General features: G+C 48.6%; 2 long non-coding RNA genes across 21 annotated transcripts in view, besides 5 other annotated features; both read right to left on the bottom strand.

Annotated features, from left to right (window-relative positions):
- Positions 1-22,006, bottom strand: part of MIATNB (MIAT neighbor) — a 108,051-nt gene extending 86,045 nt beyond the window's left edge. Inside the window, exon 1 of the long non-coding RNA NR_110543.1 lies at positions 21,862-22,006. This is a non-coding gene — a long non-coding RNA (MIAT neighbor). The remainder of the gene's footprint in view (positions 1-21,861) is intronic.
- Positions 4,557-5,178: an enhancer, noted in NCBI's record as "OCT4-NANOG hESC enhancer chr22:27085634-27086255 (GRCh37/hg19 assembly coordinates)". NCBI's record gives its function as "activates a minimal SCP1, AML or CMV promoter by ChIP-STARR-seq in naive and primed H9 embryonic stem cells {active_cell/tissue: H9 hESC(naive and primed)}" and the evidence as "EXISTENCE:reporter gene assay evidence [ECO:0000049][PMID:30033119]".
- Positions 12,457-13,280: an enhancer, noted in NCBI's record as "H3K27ac-H3K4me1 hESC enhancer chr22:27077532-27078355 (GRCh37/hg19 assembly coordinates)". NCBI's record gives its function as "activates a minimal SCP1, AML or CMV promoter by ChIP-STARR-seq in naive H9 embryonic stem cells {active_cell/tissue: H9 hESC(naive)}" and the evidence as "EXISTENCE:reporter gene assay evidence [ECO:0000049][PMID:30033119]".
- Positions 13,281-14,105: an enhancer, noted in NCBI's record as "H3K27ac-H3K4me1 hESC enhancer chr22:27076707-27077531 (GRCh37/hg19 assembly coordinates)". NCBI's record gives its function as "activates a minimal SCP1, AML or CMV promoter by ChIP-STARR-seq in naive H9 embryonic stem cells {active_cell/tissue: H9 hESC(naive)}" and the evidence as "EXISTENCE:reporter gene assay evidence [ECO:0000049][PMID:30033119]".
- MIAT (myocardial infarction associated transcript) overlaps positions 18,371-26,878 on the bottom strand; it is a 30,050-nt gene continuing 21,542 nt past the window's right edge. For all 20 annotated transcript variants that reach the window (NR_185987.1, NR_185985.1, NR_185984.1 and 17 more), the window contains one exon: positions 18,371-26,691. This is a non-coding gene — a long non-coding RNA (myocardial infarction associated transcript). The remainder of the gene's footprint in view (positions 26,692-26,878) is intronic.
- Positions 25,690-26,272: an enhancer, noted in NCBI's record as "H3K27ac-H3K4me1 hESC enhancer chr22:27064540-27065122 (GRCh37/hg19 assembly coordinates)". NCBI's record gives its function as "activates a minimal SCP1, AML or CMV promoter by ChIP-STARR-seq in primed H9 embryonic stem cells {active_cell/tissue: H9 hESC(primed)}" and the evidence as "EXISTENCE:reporter gene assay evidence [ECO:0000049][PMID:30033119]".
- Positions 26,273-26,856: an enhancer, noted in NCBI's record as "H3K27ac-H3K4me1 hESC enhancer chr22:27063956-27064539 (GRCh37/hg19 assembly coordinates)". NCBI's record gives its function as "activates a minimal SCP1, AML or CMV promoter by ChIP-STARR-seq in primed H9 embryonic stem cells {active_cell/tissue: H9 hESC(primed)}" and the evidence as "EXISTENCE:reporter gene assay evidence [ECO:0000049][PMID:30033119]".

The raw sequence follows: 26,878 nt of genomic DNA, 5'->3' as shown, positions 1-26,878 counted from the left end.
CAATACTTTGACTATAGGTTTTAGAGGAGATTCTGAAGCAGAGGACACAGCCTAGGTTCTTGGCCCTCAGACACAGTAAGATAATAAATATATGCTGCTTTCAGTTTGTGGCCATTTGTTATGTAGCGTTGGTGCATGGGTCCCTGTTCAAATGTCACCTCCTTAGAGAAGTCTTTTCTGAATTCGCTTTCTAAAACAGAATTTGTCTGACACAGAAAGATAAATACTGTATGACCTCACCTATATTTGGAATCTAAAAGAGTCAAAGCATAGAGACATAGACTAAAATACTGGTTGCCAGAGGTTGGAGGGACAGGGAAATGAGATGTTGGTCAAAGGGTACAAAGTTTCAATTAAGCAAGATGGATGAGTTCTGGAGATCTAATGTATGGCATAATGATTACAGTTAATAATATATATTTGAAATTTGCTAAGAGGGTAGGTTTCACCACAAAAAAAGACAATTATGTGAGGCGATGAACGTGTCAAATAGCTTGACTATAAGGATCATTTCACAACATATATGTATATTACAGCATCAAGTTGTACCCCTTAAACATTACCCAATTATATTTGGGTATTGGTCAATCTATTTGTCAATTATGTCCAAATAAAATAAAATCTGATCCACCGTTACTTTCCACAGTTACCCTGACTTTTTTCTCCATATCCCTTGCTGCAATCTGACTCATTATATGTTTATTTACAAATACATAATCTTGAGAGCAAGGATCTAGTCTGTCCTGGTCATCTCTGCATCTCCAGTGCCTCTCATGGAACTTGGCACATAGCAGACATTCAATAAATAAGGAATGACCGAACAATCAGCCATCTTTATATAGGCTTCACTATGGGCACTCGCCTTAGTTGTCCTCACCATGACCCAGCAAGCTGGTATAATTATTCCCATTTTATGAATGTAAAAAGTGAGGCTCAGTGGTAAAGAATGACACACCCAAGCTCATATAGCTGGTAAATGGCAGAACCAACAATTAAATCCAGGTAGCCTCACCCAAAGGTCCATGTTCTTCACTGCCATGCAGGCAACCTCAGATGATCAGCAGCACCTTTGTTCCCATTTTCTTCCTTCTATGAAAGGGGTACTTTTATCCATCCTGGGTCAGTGGCAGGAGGGACTCTCCCCATCCCTTTCTCCCAGCCCTGCTATCTGTGGACAGGAACAGGTAAAGATCTTCAGAAGCCTTAAGCTTAGAAAAGATGAGGGAGCCCCCTCTGCAATCTCCTATGTAAACTGAAATTAAAACAATGCAAAACCATAAAACCCAAAATATGTGTGCATGTTGATGTTAAAGGAACTGTTTTCTAGATTTCCTGATTCTGGTTGTTGAAGTGCAACCTTTTTCATCCCTTTCATGACCTGACTTTCCTGAGCTCCAAGCCCATCCTTAGCTGACCTCCTGGAGGAGCTAGGTCTGCATATGGGATTTTGAGTAAAGAAGGGAACGAGGGAAAGACAGAATACCCCCGGCAAAGAGAACAGCATGGATGTGCACAGGCCCTGGGGTAGAAGTAAGTACAGCAGAGACAAGGAACTGGAAGAAGAGTCTTAGACATTTGCGAAGTGTAGACACACTATAGGCTAGAAACTGCACTTTTACTTAGGAATTCCACCTAATCTTCACCAGACCTCCATAAGGTAACTACAACTATCAATGCACTTCTACAGTTGAGCAAACTAACACACAGAAAGGCAACACACCTTGCTGTTTTGGTCATCTTAGGCTACACTATGTGATGCTAACAGGTGCCTTCAAAGGTCTCGGTGGCTTAGATAGCAATCATTCATTCCTCTGCAATCTGACAAACCCTTGTAGCTCTGTTTTTGCTCTGCCCCTCCTCACTTCATTCCAGGATGAAGGCAAAGGGAGCAACTCCCTTATGGAAACCTGATGGTCTCAAGGCCAAGGTAAAAAGGGAAGGTGAAGCACAACACTTAGGAAATAGTAAAAATTACCATAGTGTCACAAAGAGGGAAGGGAAAAGGTGACCACACAAGGGTTCTTACAGTGTCTGCCAAAAAGTGGCACATACCACCTCCACTCACTTTCATCCCATTGGCTGAAAGTCACCTGGCCAACCTGACACCAGTTGGGTAGGGATATGAAATCTCCTGTAGAGATGACCACATAGGGAAGGGTCCCCATAAGGTCATGTATTTCAGAAATGGCCAGACAAGAATTCAAACCAAGGTGGATTTTTTCCACACATACATACATCCCCTGCTCCATTCCATCCCCTGGGCTATGCACTTTAGAGAACTCTGTGTCCTCAATAACAGTAAAACTCTGTCCTTCCAAATCATGCCCTGGAAGGAGGAAGCTCCAGCAAAGGAGAGGCAGCTGGGTTAAAAAGATATGAGCATACCTTCCCAAGATGCACCATCCCCTTGGGATCTTATGCATCCTTCAAAACCCAGCTTAAAAGGATGCTGCCTTTCCAGGCTCCCCCAGTTGAGCAGACCTCTCCCTCCCACATGCCCACCGATGAGCACTATACTTTCCTCTCTTAAAGCTCCTGTTCCCCTCCACTGCACGATAATCTGTATACAGGTCCGTTTCTTTCATCAGACTGTAAATAACATGAGGACATAAGAATGGCATCTTGGCCAGGCATAGTGGCTCACACCTATAATCTCAGCACTTTGGGAGGCCGAGGCGAGCAAACTACCTGAGGTCAGGAGTTCAAGACCAGCCTGGCCAACAGGATGAAACCCCGTCTCTATTAAAAATATAAAAATTAGCCAGGTATGGTGGTGGACACCTGTAATCCCAGCTACTCGGGAGGCTGAGGCAGGAGAATTGCTTGAACTTGGGAGGCAGAGATTGCAGTGAGCCAAGATCATGCCACTCCACTCCAGCCAGCCTGGGCAACAGAGGGAGAATCTGGAATCTGTCAACAAAAAAAAAAGATGGAAAGATGAAAGAAAGAAAGAAAGAAAGAAAAAGAAAGAAAGAAAGAAAGAAAGAAAGAAAGAAAGAAAGAAAGAAAGAAAGAAAGAAAAGAAAAGAAAAGAAAAGAAAAGAAAAGAAAAGAAAAGAAAAGAAAAGAATGGAATCTCATTCCGCTCTGAACACAGTGCATAGCTTAAGACATGCAGTAAAAGTCTGATGAATGAATAGATTGGTCAGTGGATATATATGGGTCGATGGAGGTGGAGAGGTTGGAAGTCAAGTTTTGGAATTGAATTAGAATCCCAGCTTTGCCACTTGCTAGCTGTGTGACTCTGGTTTATTTACTTAACCTCTCTGGACCTTTACGAAGTAGAAATATAAGTGTGTCTCTCACTGGATTGTTAGATTGTCAGGAAACGGAAGGGTGCACGGTATGATCTGACTTTAAAGAGATTTGAATTTGAATCTGAACTCTAACACTAGAAGGTGTGTGACTCTAAGAAGTTGCTTGTGCGGCGTATCATCTATTTACCCCTCTTGATCCACTGTCCATCCTCCTCCAACCTACCCAGTCCCTAAGAAGTTGGTCTCTACTGGCTGCATAAATAGGCTGTGCCCCTTCCTCCAGCCTCTTGTTAAGATCAGCCAACGGAGAGCAACAACAGAAGATGAAAGAGAGGAAGGAAACTGAGGTCAACCTATTTATTCCTCTAGCTCCCTCCTTGCCAAGTCACCAGGGACTAGCTGTGTCCTTCAACCAAAGGTCCCAGCTTCTACTACGCAGCCCTCTCCTTCTGTGTCTCCCAGCTCCTCATCTGTTCATAACCAGGGGTGGTAATCAAGTCCCACCACTGCTATCCCCAGGGAAGTGCACTATTCCTGGTGGCTTCCCACATCCTGTCTGTGGAGGGCAGAAAACTCAACTGGCCGCCAAGATTCTAGCTCCCTGGTGAACACACCCTGAATAATCCCCTCCCCTTGACTGTGGCCTGAACTTGCAAATATGATGGGATTTCATACTGTCTTAGGTTGACTTTGAGTTAATCAAAAGGAAGGTTATCCTGGGTGGGCCTGGTCTAATCAGGTGACCCTTAGAAGTCAGAAAGATTTCAAGTGAGAGACAGCCATTTGCTGGCCCTGAAGGAGCAGATATCCAGGCTGTGAACTGTCTGTGGACTGAGGGTGGTCTCTAGGAGGTAAAAGCAATCCCTGGACAACAACCAGCAAGGAAGTGGGGACTTCAGTCCTGCAACTGCAAGAAACTGAGTTCTGCCAACAACCTGAGAGAGTTTGAAAGAGAACTTTGAGCCTCAGATGGCATCACAGCCCCAGCAACACCTTAATTTCAATCTTGTGAGACTCTGAGCAGAAAACCATGCTGTGCCTGAACTACTGACCTACAGGACTATGACCTAATAGAAGGGTGTTGTTTAAAGCCACTAAGTTTCTGGTTATTTGTTATGGAGCAATAGAAAACTAATACACTGTCAGCACCTCTTTGAATGGTACCTTTATTAAATTCTTCTTGAACCGGACTGATTTAACTGTGCCATCTATTTGCTGCTGGGCTCTGATGAGTGCATCATTTAACCTCTGTGCACCTCGGTTTCCTCAGCTGTAATAGGAGATGATGGTAACAAAGCTAATGTGAGGATGCAATGACACGGTGCATGTAAAGTGCCTCGCACTTGCTAAGAGTCCACCACGTGGAGAAAGAGACAGATGGACTGAAGCAACTTCTCTGACCAGACCCGCTTTCCGAATCCCCCGGGTCTTTTGGCCTTGTCATTGCGGCTGGAAAGTCAAAGCCCCGAATGTGGGTGGTCCCACCCCTTCCTAACTCCCAGTTGCCCAGTGCCTTTGGGATGAATACACCACCCTTCATGCTCTAATTGTTTTGACTGAAGATTAGTGGGATCTTACTGCTCCTGGGGTGTAAAGAGCCATTGTGAGTGGTTATGCATGCTGAATTTAACCCAATTTCCAACACAAGGGCTTGTTCGTTCTGCAGAGAAGCCCATTTAAATGGCCTCAGCACTGCTCCCTTCAATCCACTGGTGGCCGAAAGGAGGAGAAGGAGAGAAATGGGAAACTCCTCTTCTTAACCAAATGTCTCAGGAGGGCTCATACCTGGGGACCAAGTTTGTTAAGAGGCAGATCTCAGAGCAGTGGAGAAACAGCTCAGAAGAGAAGCAGCTGGACTGCTGGCACTCAACATCCACAACTGTCAACCAAATGTGGCTCTGCAGGCTTTCCTACTATGACCAGCTGCTTTAAATCTTTCTCCTACCCTGTTATCAATGTTCCTATTGGTGGGCAGAGGACCACGTCCCCTATTCAAAGACGATTTTAAGAGACTCACTCATTTCCTCAGACTCTATGTGGAGGATGTTACAAATAACACAGATCCTATTCCTGTCTTCAGGGAGAGAATAACCCAATGCTATAAAATAGGAAGGGCATGAAAAAAATCACTGGATTCATGATATTAGTGTATAATTATTAAGCGGGAAAGTTGGTAAGCTCTCTGAGCAGTAGACCTTGTAAAAACAGGTATTATACCAAAACATAGAGAAAGAGGGACCTGTGTTTGTTTAACTTTGATAAACTGGTTCAATGAAATGTCATGGGTGTCTTTGTTGCAGGACTTTTTAGTGCCTTTAATGTGATAATGTGCCTTGTGTATCTCTAATCTGGCTGGTTGTCAGGATTCTCTCTGAAGCTTCTCAAAAGAACGAATATGCCACAGGAATCAGAATCCCCAGAAGTCAGGCTCAGGAAACTGCAGTGTTAAAACACCTCCCAGGCTGATTTTTTATGGTCAGCTAACTTGACCTAGAGATTCGAATTTGGGACTATAGGAATTTCCCAAGGTTTCCTGACTCCTGAATATATCTGTTGGTACCTGTTGAAACTCTCCAGCATGCATATAAATAATTATATTTATTTCCCTGTTGCAATCCACTCCTCATTGGAAAATCTGCTGTGGGAATCTCAGTTCAATCCAGATGTGTACATTAAGGGGAGCCTGGTGCACCTTTCGCCACCACTAGCCCAATGGGAGAAGACAAATATCCCTGAACGCTTCAAAGCAGATCATGCACCTTGGTCCACTGGGATTTCTCCATTGCAGAGCCTCTTTTGGAAGATATGGTTTTGCCCTGGGTTTTCCTAAGGATGGAATGGCTACAGAGAACCCACTAATGAGATGTCTCCAGAAGCTGGAGCTGGGGCTGTCTGGGTGGGTCCTGGGAGTCCTGAAGCAATCAGAAAGCAGTGAGTGGGTTCTAGAAGGAGATGGTTTTTGAAGGTGGGGGAGACTTGGTCAAGACTCAACTCTTGGTTCTGTCTGTTCTCTACAGGACTTCAAGAGGCTGATCACCAATCTGAAGATTGACTTCTTCCCAGGGTCCCCACTGGCTACCTCATTATCTTTCAACAGCCTCATGCTGATATCTACAGCAAAGCAGCACACCTCTTTTTTTTTTTTTCTTGAGACGGAGTCTCGCTCTGTCGCCCAGGCTGGAGTGCAGTGGCGCGATCTCGGCTCACTGCAAGCTCCGCCTCCCGGGTTCACGCCATTTTCCTGCCTTCGCGCCATTCTCCTGCCTCAGCCTCCTGTGTAGCTGGGATTACAGGCGCCCACCACCACACCCGGCTAATTTTTTGTAGAGACGGGTATTCACCATGTTAGCCAGGATGGTCTGGATCTCCTGACCTTGTGATCCGCTCACCTCGGCCTTCCAAAGTGCTGGGATTACAGGCGTGAGCCACCACGCCCGGCCACACCTCTTTTTAAGAGACAACATGGGGTGCTCAGCAATCATGGAATTTGCCAAAATAATTAAATACAACCCCCAATTCTTCTCTGGACAAGTTATCCAACATATCTGAGCCTCGGTTTCCTCATCTGTAAACTAATAAAATAAAATCTACCTCCCAGCCTGGTAAACATTAAATACATGACATTGCAAAGCACCTAACACACAGTAGGCCTTCAATAAATGTGAGTTATTTTTTCTTCCTTGTTTCTTTCTTCCCCCAAAAGGCTTTGCATCTGAGAGTCAGCAGAAAGAGGATAGTTTTTCATTGGCCTGCAGTGTGACATTGGACATCTCTTGGGCTCTAAATTCACTGGGATACTTTTGGTTGAAAGTAACAGACTCATTCAAATTAGCCCAAGCAAGGGAGGTAGGGGGAAGAATAATTATTACAAAGATGCAGAGATAACTCAGAGAACCAAGGAGCTGGAATGCAGTCAGGTTTCAGGAGTGGCCTGGAAACAGGAACTGAGATGTACCAGGAAATCTAAGATGTACTACTTTCTGTATCCCTCATCCTTTCTCCTCTCTCAGCACCACTTTCATTCATAACTAGTTCCCTGTTTACAGTACAAACAATGGCCATCAACTCCCCTAAATACTCAAGTTGGCCAGTAGGACCCCTTCCCTTAAACCTAATTCCATACTAAGGAAGATCTACATTGGCCCAGCTTGGATTGGGCTCTACTCCTAGTCCAATCAACAACATCTGGGGTAGAGCCAAGAGGCTTTCATTGGCTTGGCTTAAGATGGGCTCTACCCCTTGTCCAATCAACAGTGTCCACAGGTGGGGTCGTGAGGCTTTCATTGGCCCAGTTTGGGTTGGGCCCTTCTCCTAATCCAATCAACCACATCCAGAGGTGGTGCCATAAGGTTTTCATTGGTTTGGCTTAAGATTGGCTCTACCCCTTGTCCAATCAACAGTGTCCACAAGTGGTGCCTTGATGCTTTCATTGTCCCAGCTTGGGTCGGGACCTACCCCTGGTCCAATCAAGAGCATCCAAGAATGGAGCCATTGGCTTAAGATGGGCTCTACCCCAGTTCAATAAGCAGCAGCCAGGAATGGGGCCATGTTACACAAATATGGTGGCTTCTACTGTAGCTGTGCGGATGGAGAAAGTAAAGGACAGTCTTCAGAAAAGGGCAGCTGGGTGTGCCAAACAATAAGTGACTTGCTGAAAGCAATGAGAAATAATACCTGCCCTCAAGGAACTCATAGTTCCAAGGGAGTTTCAGACCCAGAGACAGATAAACACCATTCCTACTCAGAAAAGGCCGTTACATTGGTATGACCCAGAGACATCCACATAACCAGGGTTTGACGGGAGAAGTTCCCAGAAGCTGCACCAACTGCCTCCCCAAAGCCATCCTAGCACCTGATGAGCTAATTAATCACAATTATTATTGATGGCAGTGCCAATCCACCTGCTCGTGTCACAAGACATTAGTTATTGCCAGGAATGATGAATCCCAGGATGTAGAACATGCTAAAAATATTAATCTACCAGTGAAAATGATTTTAATTGGATTTCGCCCTTGGGGTCATGTCAGAGGCCCGCTTTCAATCAGACTTCTCCAGTCAGCAAAGCAGACCCCAGCCTTTCAAATTGAAACTGTGATTGGCTGGCAGAGGTTAATAGAAATGTTGGGAAATAAATAGGTTATTGATTGATCATAACAATCAGCCGGCTCCCAGCTTACCTTGTTGACCTCGCCCACCCAATTTTACGGCAAACGCGGTTAGCATCTAATTATAGATCACCTTTACAATACTGTGTATTAATGAGAAGATTATACAGTGGGGCATAGGGGAATTCTTACTGGAGAAGTTTCCCAGTGGCAGAAAAATTTGGTGAGACCTCTTGTCGAACATGGGGACCATCAGCGAGTGTGGGGGATTCTAGGAAGAATAAAATGACTCTCCCCACATCCCTGCCTAAAACCTCATTCATTCAAGCAACATGCATTTATTGAGCGTAAGATTTGCACAGGGGACCGTGGTACGTGGTGCTGTATCCGATGCAGTCCCTCTGCTTAGGAACTCACTCTGTAATGCACTGGTTCTAAAACATCTGCGAGCCCAAGAATCATTTGCCAGATGAAAGACAGATTCAGCCAGACATCGTGGGTCACGCCTGTAATCCCAGCACTTCGGGAGGCCAAGGCAGGAGGATGGCTTGAGAACAGGAGCTTAAAACCAGCCTGGGCAACCTAGCAAGATCCCATCTCTACAAAAAATAAAAATAGCCAGAAATGCTGGCCCGTGCTTATAGTCCCTGCTATTCAGAGGCTGAGGCAGGAAGATCCCTTGTGCCCAGGAGTTCAAGGTTACAATGAGCTATGATTGTGCCACTGCACTCCAGTCTGGATGACAGAGTGAGATCCTGTCTCAAAAAAAAAAAAAAAAAAAAAAACAGAGACGCAGATTCCTGGGCCGACACACTGAGATTCTGATTCAGAGGGGTCTGTATTTTTAACCCATTCCACCTTGAAAACTATGATGTGGTTGGAGGGCCTCATTTCGAGACACATTGGCCTGATCAGGAAGAAAGATCTACACAAAGAAAATTACAAATCAGTGTCTTGGGTGTTTGGATTAAAGTTTATCCAGAGTCCAGCCAGACATAAGGAACGTGAGGTCAGCTGAACCTGGAAGCCTTCATAAAGCAGGTGAGGTTCACACCGAGCAGGAATATCCAAGGTGAACTTGAAGAACAGTTTGCCCTCATAAAAGGATACTTTTAATGGGCACTAATGGTGTGCACAGCAGTGTTATCTGCCCCACCAGGGAGAGAAGGGGTGTCTGCCTCTCTCTTTCAAAGTACTAACAACCTGGTTGCTTTCTCAATTCCAAGTGGCCCCTCACCATGCACAAACCCTTTACTGGTTTGTTTGTTTTTTTTTAAGAGACAGGGTCTCACTCACTCACCCAGGCTGGAATCAGTGGCATGATCATAGCTCACTGCAGCCTCGAACTCCTGGGCTCAAGCGATCTTCCTGCCTCAGCCTCCCGAGTAGCTGGGACCACAGGTGTGCCTCACTATGCCTAGCTAATTTTTTTACTTTTATTTTTTTATTTCGTAGAGACAGGGTCTCACTGTTTTGCCCAGGCTGGTCTTGAACTCCTGTCCTCAAGCGAACCTCCCACCTCAACCTCCCAAATTGCTGAGATTACAGGTGTGAGACATCATTTGTTGAACCAATATGGAGAGGCGGTGAAGGTGGCAGAGATGGGAAAACAGGGTAAAATGACTTGCCATAGGTCATACAGCCCTGGTACATCTAGATAAGAACACAAGTCCAATGTCAACACACTACGGTGTTGCTGCCGCCTTATTTGTGGGGACAGCCCTTCTGAAGAGGATGAAGTTGCTGGGGAGGTAGGGCACAGCTAGGATTGGAGGGCCTGAACAAATGGTTCAATCCCAGCTTTTAACACAGTGCTGGGAAGGCCTCACTCAGGCAGTCAGACTGGGCTTCTGGCAGACTTTCAGGATGCTGAAGTGAGTCTGTGAAGGCAGATCCTCACCTCAGAATTAAGGAGGGAACTGCCTTTTAAAGAATAACAGACAGAAGTGTCTGGAAGTCACAGGCACAGGGTAGCTGGTCCACAGTGGAGACAGAGGAGTCTCAGCCCCACAACACCAGTGTGGATGGTGTCTTTGATAAATGCAGTTTCTCACCTGGACTCCTCCACAGCCTCCGCCCCAGGCTTCCTGCTTCCCCGTCCCCCTCCAATCCATTCTGCACCCAGCAGCTGGAAGCCAGTGTTTACAGCATAAATCAGAGGTGTCACTCTGCAGTACAAAACCCTCCAATGGCTTCCAAATATACTTAGAGTCAAATCAGATTCCTTATTGTGGCTCAGCAGGCCCTGAGTTATCCAACCCTGGCTTGCCCCTTCAACATTACATCCCACCAGCCTCTTATGCTCTGGCCTTACCTCTGTCCCTTCAGCATGGCAAGCTTTATCCCCACCTCAGTACCTTTGCCCCTGCTGTTCCCCCTGCTGACACTTTCTCCTAATGTCGCATGGCTGACTCCATCTTAACAGCTCAAATGCCACCTCCTCTGAGAGGCCCTCTCTGACCACCGCCTGATCTTGCCCATCCTCCACTCCACCCGGGCCATCCTGTCCCACTGTCCTGCCGTACTTCTTTTCATAGCAATAAACAGTGGTAGAAAGGATTTAACTTTCTTGTTTCTATACTGAATGCCTGTCTCCCCCACTGGACTGAGAATTCCATGAGGACAGACATTTAGTTTCTTCTCACCACTCTATTCTAGGTGCCTAGCACAGAGCCTGGCACATGGACAGTGTCAATGCATATCTGATCTACTACTGAATCCAAATCTAAAGTCTAGATGGGGAAAAAAAAATAAACAGGACCTGCTTGCCCAGAGACCAAAGCAGTGAGTGAACTCGCTCAGGCTTAGTCAAGGAGGGTGTTATGCATAGACAAGATGTAGTGACCGGAGGGGTCTTATCCTGGGCTCATGTGGGGAAAAAAGGGAACAGTCCAGGCAAAAACAAATGAAGGGCTCAGAGACACAGCACTGGAGGTGAAGGAAACTGAACACTGATGATTTTTCTTATTCCGTACATCATTCATATATCAAGATTCCCGTTTTCCTTATGAAACTGTGAGGCTGGTGAGAAAGCTGCCACAGCTGTCCAAAACAGAAGGCTGGTGGTTTGGACTGGGGCAATGTCAGGGGGATAGAATAAAGTGAGAAGAGATATTTAGGGCCGAATGTGGTGGCTCATGCCTATAATCCCAGCACTTTGGGAGGCAGAGGCGGGCATATCACTTGAGGTCAGGAGTTCGAGACAAGCCCAGCCAACATGGTGAAACCCTGTCTCTACTAAAAACACAAAAATTAGCCAGGCGTAGTGGCGGGAGGCAGGAGAATCGGTTGAACCCAGGGGGCGGAGATTGCAGTGAGCCGAGATGGTGCCACTGCACTCCAGCCTGGGCGACAGAGTGAAACTCTGTCTCAAAAGAAAAAAAAAAGAAGGCCAGGCGCGGTGGCTCACGCCTGTAATCCCAGCACTTTGGGAGGCTGAGGCAGGCGGATCATGAGGTCAGGAGATCGAGACCATCCTGGCTAACACGGTGAAACCCCGTCTCTTCTAAAAATACAAAAAATTAGCTGGGCGTGGTGCCGGGTACCTGTAGTCCCAGCTACTCGGGAGGCTGAGGCAGGAGAATGGCATGAACCCGGGAGGCAGAGCTTGCAGCGAGCCGAGATAGAGATAGCGCCACTGCAGTCAGGCCTGGGCGAAAGAGCAAGACTCCTTCTTAAAAAAAAAAGAAAAGAAAAAAGAGAGAGATTTAGGCGGTAAGATGACAGGACTTCGACAATGGCTGTGACAGAGATTGAGGAAGGAAAGAAAAATGACTGTCAGGTTTCTTTTTCAAGCAACCGGAGAGACTGGGGCTCTTTCCTGAGATGGAAAATGCTGGAAGGGACTAGGATTTGGGGAAAAAAGATCCTGAGATCAGCTGAGACAGAAACAAAGTTGTTTCTTAAAAGGAACTGTATCCTTGTTTATTGCTGCATAATGAACCTCTCCAAGACCTAGAGGCTTAAAACTACCATCATTTTGCTCAGTAACCTGCAATTGGAGCATGGCTTGGTGTGGACAGTTTGTCTCTGCTCCATGCAGTATCCACTGCAGTGACTCAATTAGAGCTGGATGACCCACCTTCAAAATGGTTCATCCATAGGATTGCCAGGAGCTCAGCCAAGGCTGTGGGTGAGAGCCTTGGTTCCTCTCCACGTGAGCCTCTTGAAGCTGCTTGGGCTTCCTCACACCATGGTGGCTGGGTTCCAAGAGTGAGTATTGCCCTCCCGCGTTTTATGAACTAGCTTTGGAAGTCACATGGCATCACTTCCACCAAAGTCACAAACCACCCAGAGTCAAGGGGAGAAGGGTCAAAGTCACATTATAAGAGGCGCACGTGGGATGGGAGATATTGTTACAGCCATTTTTGTAACAATAATAATTTCTGTTTATGGCACCAGGAACATGGGGGCCTTTCACCCTTGTGACCATCCTAGAAAGAAGATCCTAGTGTTACCCCCATTTTATAAATGGGGATACAGAGGCTCAGAGAGCTGACGTGACTTGTCCAAGGTGACACAGTATGGGAATCCAGACTTGACACTGGACCTGTCCCACCTCCAGTTGGCTCAGACAAGAGCCAGCTTCATTTTTCTCTGTACTTCAGTGCCCAGTACAGGGTCTGGCCCCAGATCCAGGGGTGCAGGTGCTGGGCGAGAGGCTGAAATCAAAGACCGTGAGAGTCCACGGGGCCTCCGTCATTCCAGCCTGAGAACCTGGGAAAGCGTAAAGGCGGTTGAGGCCTGACCCCACTGCCAGAAGGTGATGTCTGGTATGAGCTCCCCGGTGGCCTGGCGTCCCTGAGATGGCTGGGAAAATGCCCCCTCAGCCCTGTGCCTCCAAGATGTTCTCTTTCCTGGGGCCTGGGCTGGAGGCTCTGGCACATTCCTTACATTCCAGAGCTTTCCTCTGGGAGGAAGCCTCCTTCACACAGGAGAGGCCTCTTGAGTGAAGATTAGGAAATCGCTAGTGTTTCAGGCTGAACAGCACCAGCTCCCCACAGCGGTCTCTGTCCCCCTGGCTACATGGCTACGCCGCTGTTGTGGGTGCTTTGCAGGGGAGGATCTGTTTATAGGCCATGGGCCAGGCAAGAGATGACTGTAGGGACTGGGCCGCCATGACTGTGGCTTCTTGAGTGCTCACCACAGGCAGGCTCAGAGGATAAAGAGGCCAGAGCTGCCGGCCAGCTTGCTCCATGACTTGGTCCTGTTGCTCCCCGGTCTAATCCTCAGGCCACTCTGTCTTCCCCCAACCCTGTTGGCCTGCCATACCTGCCCAAGGCCAAGAGAAACCATCAACACATGAAACAGGAATTGAGAGCCCATCACATGCAGACACGTTGCATATGCTCTCTTGCCAAATCCGGGTAGCTTCATTGAAAGGGACACAGTTGGGCCGGGCGCGATGGCTCATGCCTGTAATCCCAGCACTTTGGGAGGCCAAGGTGGGCGGATCACCTCAGATTGGTATTTCGAAACCAGCCTCACCAACATGGAGAAACCCCATCTCTACTAAAAATACAAAATTAGACGGGCATGGTGGCACACACCTGTAATCCCAGCTACTCGGGAGGCTGAGGCAGGAGAATCACTTGAACCCAGGAGGTGCAGGTTGCGGTGAGCTGAGATCGCACCATTGCACTCCAGCCTGGACAACAGAGTGAAACTCCGTCTCAAAAAAAAAAAAAGAAAAGAAAAAGAAAAAGAAAGGAACACAGTTATTCCCATTTTACAGATGGAGAAACTGAGGCTCAAACAGGGGAAGTCATCAGCCCTAAGTCACATAACCAGTAAGGGGTGGATCTGGCTACTCCCTAATTTGCCTGGACACCACCCACTAGAAAAGCCCAACTGACTCTTGTTTCATTCATTCAGTAAAATGTTGTTGACTCCCAACTCTGTGCCAAGTGCAGTACTGGGTACCCAGGGTACAGCTGTGAAGCAGGCTGCATTGCCCCTGCCCTTGTGGTGCTCACAGTCAGGGGAGCAGTCAATGAGCCAATAAATATGAAATCACAAACTGTGCTCAGATCCCCGAGGGCAATGAACACCCTGCAGGGAGAAGGAGTGACAGGAGAGAAACCAGCATAGAAAGAGTAACTGGGTTCGATCCCACAAGACGGAGTCAGCATTTTGGGGTGATGCGGCCCCATGGGTGTGGTGACCACCTTGAATCCAGGTTTCTCCATCCTCCAACCATGTGTCTTTGGGTGAGTTTCTTCACCTCTCTAAGCTTCAGTGCCTCCTCCTATAAAATGGGGGTGGTAATGAAACTCGTAAACTATTTCTGAGCACTTCATACATCAATGTGTCCAAACCATTCAGCACAGAGCCTGCATGGAGCAAACACTCGGAAAACAGTACCGGCCACTTTAACTCAATCCAGGTGAATGAAGGTGTGTTTGGAGGTGGAGAGAGAAGGAACAGTTTTGCCTGCAGGAAGAGCTCACAGCATCAGCGAGTTCTTGGAATAGTCTAGGCCTCAGAGGTCGATGGTTGGGGGATCCTGCATTGCTGAAAACACCAGTGTTATCAAAATAGTGAACCCTGCTGAGAGTGGCAGGATGGAATGGAAGCCAAAGGCGTACTTTGCCCATTTGGTGGAGGAGTAAGCTGAGGCTTAGAGAGGGGAAGTCACTTGGCTTGGCCTCTGTTAGGAAAAGGAGCCCTCGGCTGGGCAAGGTGGCTCACTCCCAGCACTTTGGGAGGCCGAGGCGGGTGGATCACAAGGTCAGGAGTTCAAGACCAGCCTGACCAAGATGGTGAAACCCCGACTCTACTAAAAATACAGAAATTAGCCAGGTGCAGTGGCAGGCGCCTGTAACCCCTGCTACTAGGGAGGCTGAGGCAAGAGAATCGCTTGAACCTGGGAGGCAGAGGTTGCAGTAAGCCGAGATCGCGTCACTGCACTCCAGCCTGGCGATAGAGTGAGACTCCATAAAAAAAAAAAGGAAAAAAAAGAAAAGAAGGAAGGAAGGAAGGGAGGAAGGGAGGGAAGGAGGGAGGAAGGGAAGGAGGGAGGGAGGGAAGGAGGGAGGGAGAGAGAGAGAGAAAAGAAAAGGAGCCCTCCGCAAAAATGAAGAGTGGTTTTCCAGAGTTTCTGTCCTCAGCTGCATTCTCTCCAGTCCCTATCCTTGTCCCACCCATGCCAAGTCCTACTCAATGCCCTAAAACTCTGTGATTTCCAGAGTATCCCGTAGAGCATCCAGCCCCAAATGCCCCTGAGAGGAACTGAGTTTCCAATAATAAGCAGTGAGGGTTTGGTGCAACACCACCATCTCCTGGTCGCTCCTGTGAACTACAGCTCTGGCTGGGCCACAGAGCACCTACAAAGCGGACTGGACTCCCAGGAGCTACACGACACTGACATGCAACAGACTAAATGCAGAGGCAGATATCAGAATGCAACACAATCTGTCTTCTATTAGGCCAGACATTAAAGAGATTTACCCTAAGAAAGTAAAATAATGCTGTCTTCTCACTAAATTTATTTTGCTTTGGAAAATACGGTTATTCATAATAAAGCATGTGTTATTTTTGTTAATATGCGATGGGTTTATTATTGTTATTGTGATTTTTCCATGAATAAACAAGTCTTTTTAAAACGTCTCTGTTTTAATTTACAACATGGCAGAGTCTCTACAATGGTTTCCTTCTGTCCCTGTCCCCCATCCAAATCTAGTTTCCATTCACTGCCTCTCCTGGGCTTTGCACTCTGCAGGGGTGATGCCTGTCTGCTGTGCCCTGGGCACCCAGCATTGTATTTGACACACAGTAGGACTCAACAACATTTTGCTGAATGAATGAAACAGGGGCCAGTTGAGCCTTGTGAGTGGCCAGCATCCACAATGCCTTTGAAAAAACACCTGCAACTGGGCCTGGCTGCCCAGAACACTTTTCTGAGAAAAAGGCTGAAAATGCACCCAAGTTCCCAAAGATAGGCAGGCAATCAGCTAGCACTGTGCGTCATATGGCAAGAGTGTAAAGAGCCTGAAGCCAAAATGTTTGAGAACTGCAGTGATAGAGTACTGTGGACAGGGTGGTCAGGGGAGGCTTCTCTGAACAAGTGATGTTCAGCTGAGCGCCAACAAGAAGTCAGCCACGTGAAAACCAGAGGGACATACATTCTAAGTGACGGGAAAAGCCAGTGCAAAAGTAGGTACCCAGGCGAGAGCAAATAGGTGCACTGGTAACAGAAAGGCCAGCAACCTGGCATCCCAGAGGCTAGGGCAGTGCCCACTATAAAAGAAGGACTCAGTAAACAGCTGCTGGGTGAATAGAGGGAGGGAGAGGAGGAAGAGAAAGGAGGACTGGGAGGAAGCTCTCTTCTCATTAGGGGTCTTGTAGTCCTTTGAGGGCAGGGGGGCTCACAAGTTCTGCCAGCCGTGGGAGATTCCCAACTCTTCTTACCACGCCTTGAACACTGCTGCACAGACCAGCCTCCACTTCTTAGCTCAATCTGTAACCTCCTCTGAAGTGTCCACCCTGCCCCCACCCCAATATCCTATCAATATCCTCATCTCCTACCGAACCAGTCCAATGAATCTTGGAGAAGCCATCCTGAAATGCCCTGCACCATCACTATTTTCTCCTGATTTATTGACTATTCCCCATCCTTCAAGGTTCCCCTCAAGTTTTGATTCTCCCAGAAAGCCATCCCTTACTGCCCCCACCCTCACCCCACCTCCTCCTGACCTTCTTTCCAACAGAGCACCTCTGGCCCCCAATCTCATCATCTGGTGCTAACACAGAATGAGGTTTCAGGGAACACTTGCAGGGCATCAAGCGCTGTCTTAGCTCTGCAAGAACGCTTGGGAACCTTCACAATGGCCCTATGAGGTGGGAGTGGTCTCCCCATTCTACAGAGCCGATGGAGGCTCAGGGAAGGGCAATCATCCCCAAGATCTAACAGCAGGTGTGTGGCAAAGCTGGGATTCAAACTGAGGATTATCAGTAGTCTCAATCCTAAGACTGACTCCAAAGTTCTTTTAAAACTTGGCTACCCAGAACACTGTTCTGAGAAAGAGCCTGAAAATGCACCCAAGTTCCCAAAGAGAGATAGGCAATCAACTTGCAATGTCTGTCAAGGATGCTGAAGGGAAGAGTGGCGATGTGTGTGGCTTATATTTGCCAGTCCTTCACGATCACACACTAAACTCTATCTTTTTCTCTGTCACCAAGGAACTCTTTGACTCCCCAGTGAAGTATAAGATCCCTGGCAGGCCATGCGCGGTGGCTCAAGCCTGTAAACCCAGCACTTTGGGAGGCCGAGGCGGGCAGATCACGAGGTCAGGAGATCGAGACCATCCTGGCTAACACGGTGAAACCCCGTCTCTACTAAAAATACAAAAAATTAGCCGGGCGTGGTGGTGGGTGCCTGTAGTCCCAGCTACTCAGGAGGCTGAGGCAGGAGAATGGCGTGAACCCAGGAGGCAGAGCTTACAGTGAGCCGAGACCGCGCCACTGCACCCCAGTCTGGGCAACAGAGCAAGACTCCATCTCAAAAAAAAAATAATAATAAAATAAACAAATTCCCTGGCAATAAGAACCTGGATTTCTGGAAGCACTGCCCTAGGCATAAAGAAGTGTTATTTTTTAAAAATACCACCAGGCACAGTGGTGCACGCCTGCAGTCCCAGCTACTCAAGAGGCTGAAGCAAGAGGATCGCTTGAGACCAGGAGATCAAAGCCAGCCTGGGCAACATAGCAAGACCTCATCTCTAAAAAAAAGAAAAGAAAAATAAATACCAATGGTGATAATGGTTGCACAACAATGTGAATGATACCACCAAGATGTTCACTTAGAAATTATTATGGTGGTGAAGTTTTATGTTATGATTATTTTACCAAAATTAAAAAATAAAATACCCTATTATATTGACTTCTAGGGTCACTCTTGAGGAAAGGCTGACTCACCGAGAGAGCCCACCCCTGCTCCTTGAGAATGCCACTGGCTGCCCCCTCTCCCCTAAACAGCACGTCCCTTCTGCTTCATAGGCCACAGTCATGTTTCCAGCGTGAATTGATTTTTAATAGCAAAATGGCATTTTACACAGAAGCAGCTACATTCATGGATGAAAACAAAAATCCAAGTGACGCTCCTTTGTTGAATCCATGTAAAAATCTGATTTTTAATCTACAGAGAAATTTCTACCCACACATTCGGTATCCCCTGGGGGTAATGACATGGAAAACAAACATCTTTTCTGGTCTGTTAAAGTAAAACAATGGGTCCCTGGATAGACTCTCAAGAGGGCCTTTGATGGAATGGAACCAGTCCCCCCACCCCGAAAGCATCCCCCCAGCTCAACATGTCACCATTTACACCAGCACAGCCCTCACATTGGGTCCACAGCACAACCTATTAAGAAAGGATTATAACACCTGTTCGGATTGGGAGGCCAATTCCTCAGCTCTAAGATCCTGCTCATAGCAAGCTTGATGTTCAGTAGACTCCAAAGCAGACTGAATGAGGGAGGGGTCGAAGAGAATGTGCCTGCTTGGGCTCAGCCTCCTCTAATATTGTCAAGATGCACACACACTCTTAGAATCTCACAACCATCGCCAATCTCTATGTTGGCCTAGTCCCAATCCTTCTGCCTCTGGGAACAAAAGGTTCATTACCCACCAAGGCATATTTTTCCCTCTCTGGGACCAGGATCAGCTCTTGCAAGCTTACTCCACACTTGTATCTGCCCCTTGCAGCCATGCATGACAAATGGGCTCCCTCCCCAATGGAATTATCTTATAGACTTGCAGCCTATGACTGTGTTTCCCCTGATCTTCTCCAGGGACTTCCCACCACCATGGGATGACATGTTTTCAAGATTGCTCCCCTTCCGAGCCTTTATTTTCACCTTGGTCCTCTTTACTTTCCAGTCATTGCAGAGATACTTCCAACTGGGGTAGACATGTATGGATTCTGTTTATCAAAAGATGGACCAAAGGGTCTTCCTAGTTTCAAAAAGTTCTGCTCAGTTGTCTAAAATGTGGCCAGAGGCCATTGCAAACTCCTCTGAGTTCCACCTGGGCTGGAAAAGCCAAATGGCCAGCCTAAAACTCAAATCCACTAACTCCCTTTCTCAGATCATATCCGTCGCTCCCCAAGGCCTAAGGATAAAATCTAAACTTCTTGGCAACCAGACCCGGCACCATGTCCATGTCTCCTATCTCTTGCTACATTCCACATGAACCTTCCAGAACCTCTTTGGATCCTCTCTGATCCCCAGAAACTGGTGTCCACCACTCTCGCTGCCCGGAACTCATCCCCACCCACACTCCACCCAGCCACAGCTCAGCTTAGATGCCTCCCTCTCCAGAAAGCCACCACAGGGTGGATTAGGTGTCTCTCTGTCCCCATTCCACCCCCCTGCACCCAACACACTAGAATTAAAGCTCCTGAAGACCAAATGGTGTTTAACTACCACTACATCCCCAATGCCTGGCACACGCCTGGCACAGAGTAGGTGCACATCAATCTTGTCTGTCTCCTTGGTGCTCCCACAGACCCCTGACCAATCATAACACCCATCTCACTGAATCACTATCTACTTCACCAACTCTCCCACTAGGCTATAAAAGCACCATGACGAAAAAGCCCAGGTGCAGGTCCCAGCGCCCAGAGCAGTGCCTGGCACATAGTAGATCCTTAGCAGCATCAAGTCTTTGCAGTTAAACAAAGAGGAGTTTCAGGAATAGGAGGTGTGAGCTTCCTGCTTTGAGTGAAATGGAGCAAGGCAGCCACTAGAGGATGGCAGGCAGGCACTTCCGGGTGTAGACTACCCCATCCAAGGTCCCTGCCAGCAGCCAAGGCATGTTCTCAAAGCTCTTTCTAAGACATCTTTTCTCTCTTGTGCCCTCTGCAGCTCAGGCCTCTGGATCACCCTTCACCCCCACTGCCAACTACAATTGGTTAGCTCTGAGTCCACAGTTGCCAGAGAAAAGGGCTCTCAGCACCAGACTAGCATTCAACGACCCAAGCAACCTGCCTCTAAGGTCTGTAAGCCAGCCTTTGACCTGTCCCTAAACTGATCCAATCCTCCAGGCCCTGCCTTGAACTGTCTTCTCCTGCAGACTCTGACTACCAGACTGAGTCAGCAAAACCTTGAACTAGTGCCACCTTTTACCTGCACCTGGAATCCCTTGCGTATGCTCCCTGCCCCTCTACTCCCAAAGGACGTTCCCTCAGTCTAAAGAGATCAAAAGTCCCTTCCAGAAAAACTCCCGTTTCCTCGGTGCAGCTAAATTGCACAGAAGAGTTTATGCTAGAAGAGCTAAAAGTTAGAACAGGAAGCTCAGATAATTTATACTACTAACATGTAAATGACTGACGGAGTTATAACCCTTCTGAATACTCTGATCTAAAGCTTTATGTCCTAGAACTTCCAAAACACAAAGTCCCCAAAATGAAGACTCTAGGCCCTGGCCTGGGGAAGGGTGACTCTATACAAAATGGCATATGCTCTGTAGACACCAGACAGGTATTTTAAGGTTTATAAGAGCTGCATCTACTTGTGCAAACTACTGTAGCTATAAGGCTATATTTTTTTAAGAACTGAAACCAAATGCAGACTATGAGGAGTGAAGATATGCCCAATGGCCAAAACCTTGCAAGACTGGCTATACTTCTGACCCCACCTTGGTGGGTACCACTGCTCCATCAGGCCTGGTCCACACCAGAGCCCTGGCACCTCCTTTAGAAAACTACCATCTTTACCGACTTCTGATTGTTCTGACTCAGAGCAGCCACCACGCCCAAAATTGTTAGCTATGCTTTTCCCTGTGTTAGTCAAGTTCAAACCTGTGTTAGCCAAGTTCAAACCTGTGTTAGCCAAGTTCAAAGCTGTGTTAGCCCCTTCCCAGCCATGCCGACATCCAAGCTGTTAACAGTAACGAGGAATGTTAGACCTGTTGTTAGTCAGAAAAAAATCCACAAACCATTAGTTTCTGCTGAAAGGAACAGACCAGGAAGGCAGGAGTTAGTCAAGGTGAAGGAAAGGTTAATTAAGAACCGGTCAGGGCCAGGCCAGGAGCCTGGAACCCCCAGACAGGGCCAGGTTGGTTGTTAGTGGTCAGCCCCTGGGGCAGTCAGGGTGAGGCAGGGATTAGCTGGGTGAGAGCAAGAGTTAGCGCAAGGGAGCCAGAGATTAGCCCAAAGAAACCAAGGTGCCTACTGGAGGTGAGGCATGAAATCACCCCCAGGTGTGGCCCCGGCTTAGCGGCTGGCGGGCTCTGGGGGAGGCTGGCTGAGGCAGTGACGTCCGTGGGAACAGAGAGCCAGAGATGCATTCCTGGCCGGCCTGAGCATCTGCGGGAACCCTGTGAGCCCCTGAGGTTCACTTCTTGCTCCCCACTTCTCTCTCCTGCAAACTCCGAGCCCGGGGTAAAGCTGCTTCCCCTCCCCACACCCCTTTTCAACCCGACAACTAACGCCCTCTAGCTTCCGGGAATGGGACGGATCTTTCCCAAGGACTTCCGGTCACGGCCCCACGTCTACTTACGGTGGGGGAAACCGGCCTCTCTCGGCTCCAGAGAGGGGAGACGGCTCTCTAGCTGACTTCCTGTGTGGGAAAGAGTCCTCTCACTGACTTCCGGTGTCAGAAATGTCCCTCTTTCCGGCCTTCAAATATGAGAAATGTTTCTCTGGCCGACTTCCTGTGTACTAAATACTCCACTCAGTGGTTTTTAGCGTAGGAAAGACCCGCTTCATTGACTTCCGGTGTAAGAAAGGCTCCGCTTTCTGACTTCCGGTGTGGGACACGCCCCTCTGCTAATTTCCGGTGAGGGGCACGCCCCCTCCTGCCTTCCTCGTGGGATACGCCCCCCTCGTGACTTCCTGTGCAGGACAGCTTCTATCCCCGTCACTTAACAATGGAGAGGATTCTTCCCCAGCTTCCTTCCAGAGGACACAAAAGCTCAGAGCTCCACAGTCTAGAGTCTAGACCAACAGGCCTCCACACTCACGTCCCAGAGATTTCCCTGGTCCCACCTACTCCCAGTGGCAACCAGACTTCTGCACATAGGAGAGATGTCATACTCAGAGTCCAGCCTCCCACATCCACAGGACCACCTCTTCCTCCTCTGAGTCTTGTTAATAGGGCCATCCCCTGCCTTAGACCTGGCCCAGTGGACTCTGATCTTACAGCCAATATGGGGCAGCAAAGTGGGACATCTGTCTACAGGGCCAGTAGCCCCAGGTCATCTGCTTGCCAAAAGGAGGGGGACCAGCCCCCGGGGGGAGCCCAGAGCTCGGCAGGGCTGGGGTTAGTAAGAAGAGAAAACAGGGTTAGTAGGGGCTGGGTTAGTAAGTCAGAGCACAGCACCAGCGGACAGGGCACCTCAGCAGACACACACAGGAGTCGCTAAGAGAAAAGGAAGAACGCACGCAGGTCCGTTAGTTTGTTAAGGGATGATCGGGGTGCAGTTGAGGCACCCCAGGGGTTAGACGGGTTAGTAATCGAACAAAAGAGCTGCCTACAGAAAAGAAAGCTGAGACGGAGGAAGAATGTGGGGAAGTGACATGGATTCAAAGCCAAGTGTCTTGCCCCAGGCAGAAGGATCTGTGTGCAGAACACCCAGAGAGGCCAGGGCCTAGGCAGCAGACGTGTTCAACCAGGTTTGAGGGGCCTTCCTCCATCCTCATACTTTTTTTTTTTTTAGGTGTCTGCCATGTGCTGAGACCCTTATATTGACGGGAATCCTCACTGCAACCTGTAAGGTATCAGAACTCGCATTCTACCACTGAGGAAACTGAGGTTGAGAGAAGTGAGGTGACTTACTCAAACTCACTCAACAGGAAGTGGCAGAGTTGGTGAGTCTTATTTGCATTCTCTGTCCTGGAACGTGGGTCTGCACAAAGATCCCAGCCCATAGGCAGAGCCTTCTGGAGCCTTGGCTGCCCCCATATCCCAGCCCCTTGAAAGGCCCATGAGCTGCACAGTTAGTAGGATCTGGCTGCGGGGGGGTGGTTAGTAGGGCATGCTCGGGCCTGGTTAGTGGGTTAGTTGGTTGGCAGAAGGCCAGGCACCTCGTCACACGCCACAGCGTCCCGGCTGAGCCCTGGGTTAGTAGGTTAATCACACCATGCAACACTGCCCCGGCCCCTCCAGCTGCAGCTTCAGAGGCCTCCCGCCCCCACCAGCCAGGGAGTGGGGCCTGACCAGGGCAGGGGGTCTAACTCTAAGCCCCCCAGCCCCATCAAAATCAACCCTAACCACATGGACCCTGCCCAAAAGCATGTTGCTTCCCTATTTATTGGCTGTGGGTCTCAGAGCACCCCCTGCAAATATTTCAGCTCCCCTGAAAATGGACCCTACTTGTCCTAGACAGAAACCCCCTGCCTGGTTCTGGTCAGCCCCTTCCCAGAGGGCTGGATCCTGTTACACTCTGACAGACACACGCACACCCGCATCTCTCCGCAAAAGATCTGACAACCGTGCTTAGTAGACATCTCTTCCATCACCGACTGTCAGGCCTCTAGTTTCTCCAACTATTGGCCTGCCCTCCCACCATTAGAAAAAAAAAAAACGCATCAAGCTGGCCTGGCTCCTGGAACCAAGTTGAGACTCCCCCACGCCCACCCGGTCTGCTTCCTTTTCAGCCAATGCTACAAAGCACCTAAGTGTACCCTAATTATGCCATCTTCTATCACTGCTGTACTTTTCCCATAGAAACCCCAGCCTAGCATCTCCCACAGTTCTAAACGATGTTCCATGAGAAAAAGATTCTACGGCCATAAAAGTCAAGGAACACTTCATCCTATGCCCTGTCCCTGAGTATTTGAAATTGCCATTAGCATTTTAAAGGTTCTGATAAGTCCTGCACTACTTCAGTAGTGCAGCGGAATTTGAATTAGAACCTGCTTTTTTTTTTTTTTTTTTTTTTTTAAGGAGCAATGACATTTCCTAGAAGTTACTTTAAGAATTTCCCTAGAGGGTCGGGTATCATCTCAGCCAGATCTTTCTCATCCTTCAAGGCCCTGTTTGGTACAGCTTGCTAGGAAGCTGTTCCAGACTGCAGCAGCCCTCTCTGGGGTCTCTCTACCACTTCCCAGGCACTCAGAACTTGTGCCTCAGTAGACTGTTTTGTGGCACTGTCCCATTCTCTGATTCTCCATGTGAGCTGGTTTTATCCCATCCAGCATGGCTGTGAAATCCTAAAGGTTCAAACCCCAGCCACTCTTCACCTATATTTCCCCCAAATGGCTAGCACGGGAAAGGGCCCAAAGTAGGTGCTCAGTGCTGATGAGAGAGTAGAATTTAAATACCCCAGGAAGCATTGTGAGTTACTACGGAGGCCATGAAATGCTGCCACCTCCCCAAGCTGATTAAAGAGTGATACTAGGAAAATAGGTAGGGAAGGGCTAATCAGAAATGCCTCTGGTTCAGAAGATGCTGAGTTTTAAAGTCCAGAGAGCCAAAAAAAAAAAAAAATAGATAAACCCTAAGTCTATACTCCCAGATGGATGGGAGCATTTGCTGAGCACCTACTGGGAGTCAGGCACTGTGCTAGGCACACAATCTCACTGAATTCTCCCTGCACCTGACAGGCAAGCACATTCCTTCCATTTCACAGAGCATCGGAGGCTCAGAGGTGAAGTAACTTGCCCAGGGTTGTAGCCCAGGCCCTTCTCAGGACACGGCTCTCCCAGGGCCTCCGCCTCCCTGCACTGAGCCCTGCCAGTTCCATATGTCCTCCGAAGCACTCCTGAGCCACCCCAGCATGGTACCTGCCACTCTCCGTGTCTGCTTCCCATACCTCTCTGCTCCTCCTCCCCATCCCTGGGTGGGGGCGGGAATTCTGAAGGGGAGAAGGCTCTGACTTTCCATGTTTGCGGTGACCACCCTGTTAAGAACTGAATGGTGTCCCCTCCCCCAAATGCATATGTTGAAGCAGTAGCCTGCTATGTGACTGTTTTTGGAGATGGGACCTTTAAGGGGTTAAGGTTAAATGAGGTCATAGGTTTAAGCCCTAATATGGTGATATTAGTGTCTTTATAAGAAGAGGAGGAGACACCAGAGCCTGCTCATGCTCTCTGTCCCTCTCCACAGAGAAAAGGCCATGTGAGGACATAGTGAGAAGGTGCCACCTGCAAGCCAAGGAGAGAGGCCTCACCAGAAACCAAGTCTTAACACCTTGATCTGGACTTTCCAGCCTCCAGAACTGGCAGAAAATAAATTCCTGATGTTTAAGCCATCCAGTCTGGCATGGTGCTGTGGCAGCCCAAGCTGATGAATAGTACACACCACTCCGCATTCTGGGAAAAAGGACATCTGGCTTTTAAACTTGCCTAAGGGAGGCCACAAGCTGCTCTCTTGCAAACGCTGGGACTGTCTCCTCTGGAGGGAGCTGGAATTGCAGATTGTGGGGCCTGTCCTGCCACCTTCTGTTCCCCAAGAACAGAATCCAGGAGCAGTGCAACTAGAAGCAGCGATCTGATTGGAGAAGAGTGTCCTGAGACTGGGCTAAGGTGACCCCTTAAGCCTTTGGGTAAGACTGGTTCCCTTTGGATGGCAGGAAAAAAAACCCAGGGCCACCTGTCTCTTTCTAGTGAATTTCCCTAGCCTAAATCTTATCTCTTAAAGACCCTCTCTTTTCAGGATGGTGCACTCTCAGCCCCTCTGGCTGCCCCTCCCAGAGTTCAACAGCACAGGGGGAAGGCTCCAGCTCCTCCCAGATCCTGACTGTCTCCTCTTTGTAACCATCAGGGAGAGGAAAAGCATGGAAAAGCCCCACCAAGGAAGTCCCCCACAAAATGACAATTACGCACTGAGCAAATGGAGACAAAGGACTCCAGCCAGCGGCACCCGAGGAGCTGCATCTGCCCTCTGCCTGACAGCCCCTCCCCGACTCCCATCCTTGTTCCTGTCCCCATCCTGTAGGGTCCTTTGAGACCCAGCCTTGGGGAAAGTGTGGTCAGTGGGGACTTGGCCCAGGCCAGGCTCTGTCTGGTCACCGGCAGAAACGCGAGGAGGAATCAAGTTCACATGGGGCAGGAAAGGGCCCCCAGACCCAGACAATAGGGCCCAGCAGGCAGGGCCCGAGCAGGTGAGGAGGGAGTAGTGGGCTGCCAGGCCTCCCTCATACCCCTGGAGCTGTCCTCCAGAGCCAGATCAGTCATCTGCTGAGCATCAACCAGGAAGAGTTCCTATCCATGGGAGGCTCCATCCCAACAGGTGTGAAGAGGATGAGATCTTCAGGGAGTCACCCAGCGGGCTAGAAAACCACCGGAGTCTGACCGCTAAGTCACTGTGGCCAGAATCCAAGGTCACCCGAGGTCCAAAGAGAAGTCCAGGCCAGGAGTCCTGGAGATGCGGCCCAGATGGAGCCACCTGGGGGAGAAGACAGCGAGTGAGGATGAGGCCACAGCCTCCATCCCCAACTTCCCACATCCCCCCAGCCTAATTCTGCATCTGAGGGGACTCATGTTCAGAGATCCCCCCAGTCTCTCATGCCCCCAGCACACACACAGGGTGGAAGTGAGGGTTTTGGACATGAAACATTTTTAGAAGAAACTTA

The sequence above is a fragment of the Homo sapiens genome, chromosome 22 (assembly GCF_000001405.40).
Source record: "Homo sapiens chromosome 22, GRCh38.p14 Primary Assembly".
NCBI classification, from domain to species: domain Eukaryota; kingdom Metazoa; phylum Chordata; class Mammalia; order Primates; family Hominidae; genus Homo; species Homo sapiens.
This window is presented reverse-complemented; position numbering and strand designations above follow the sequence as displayed.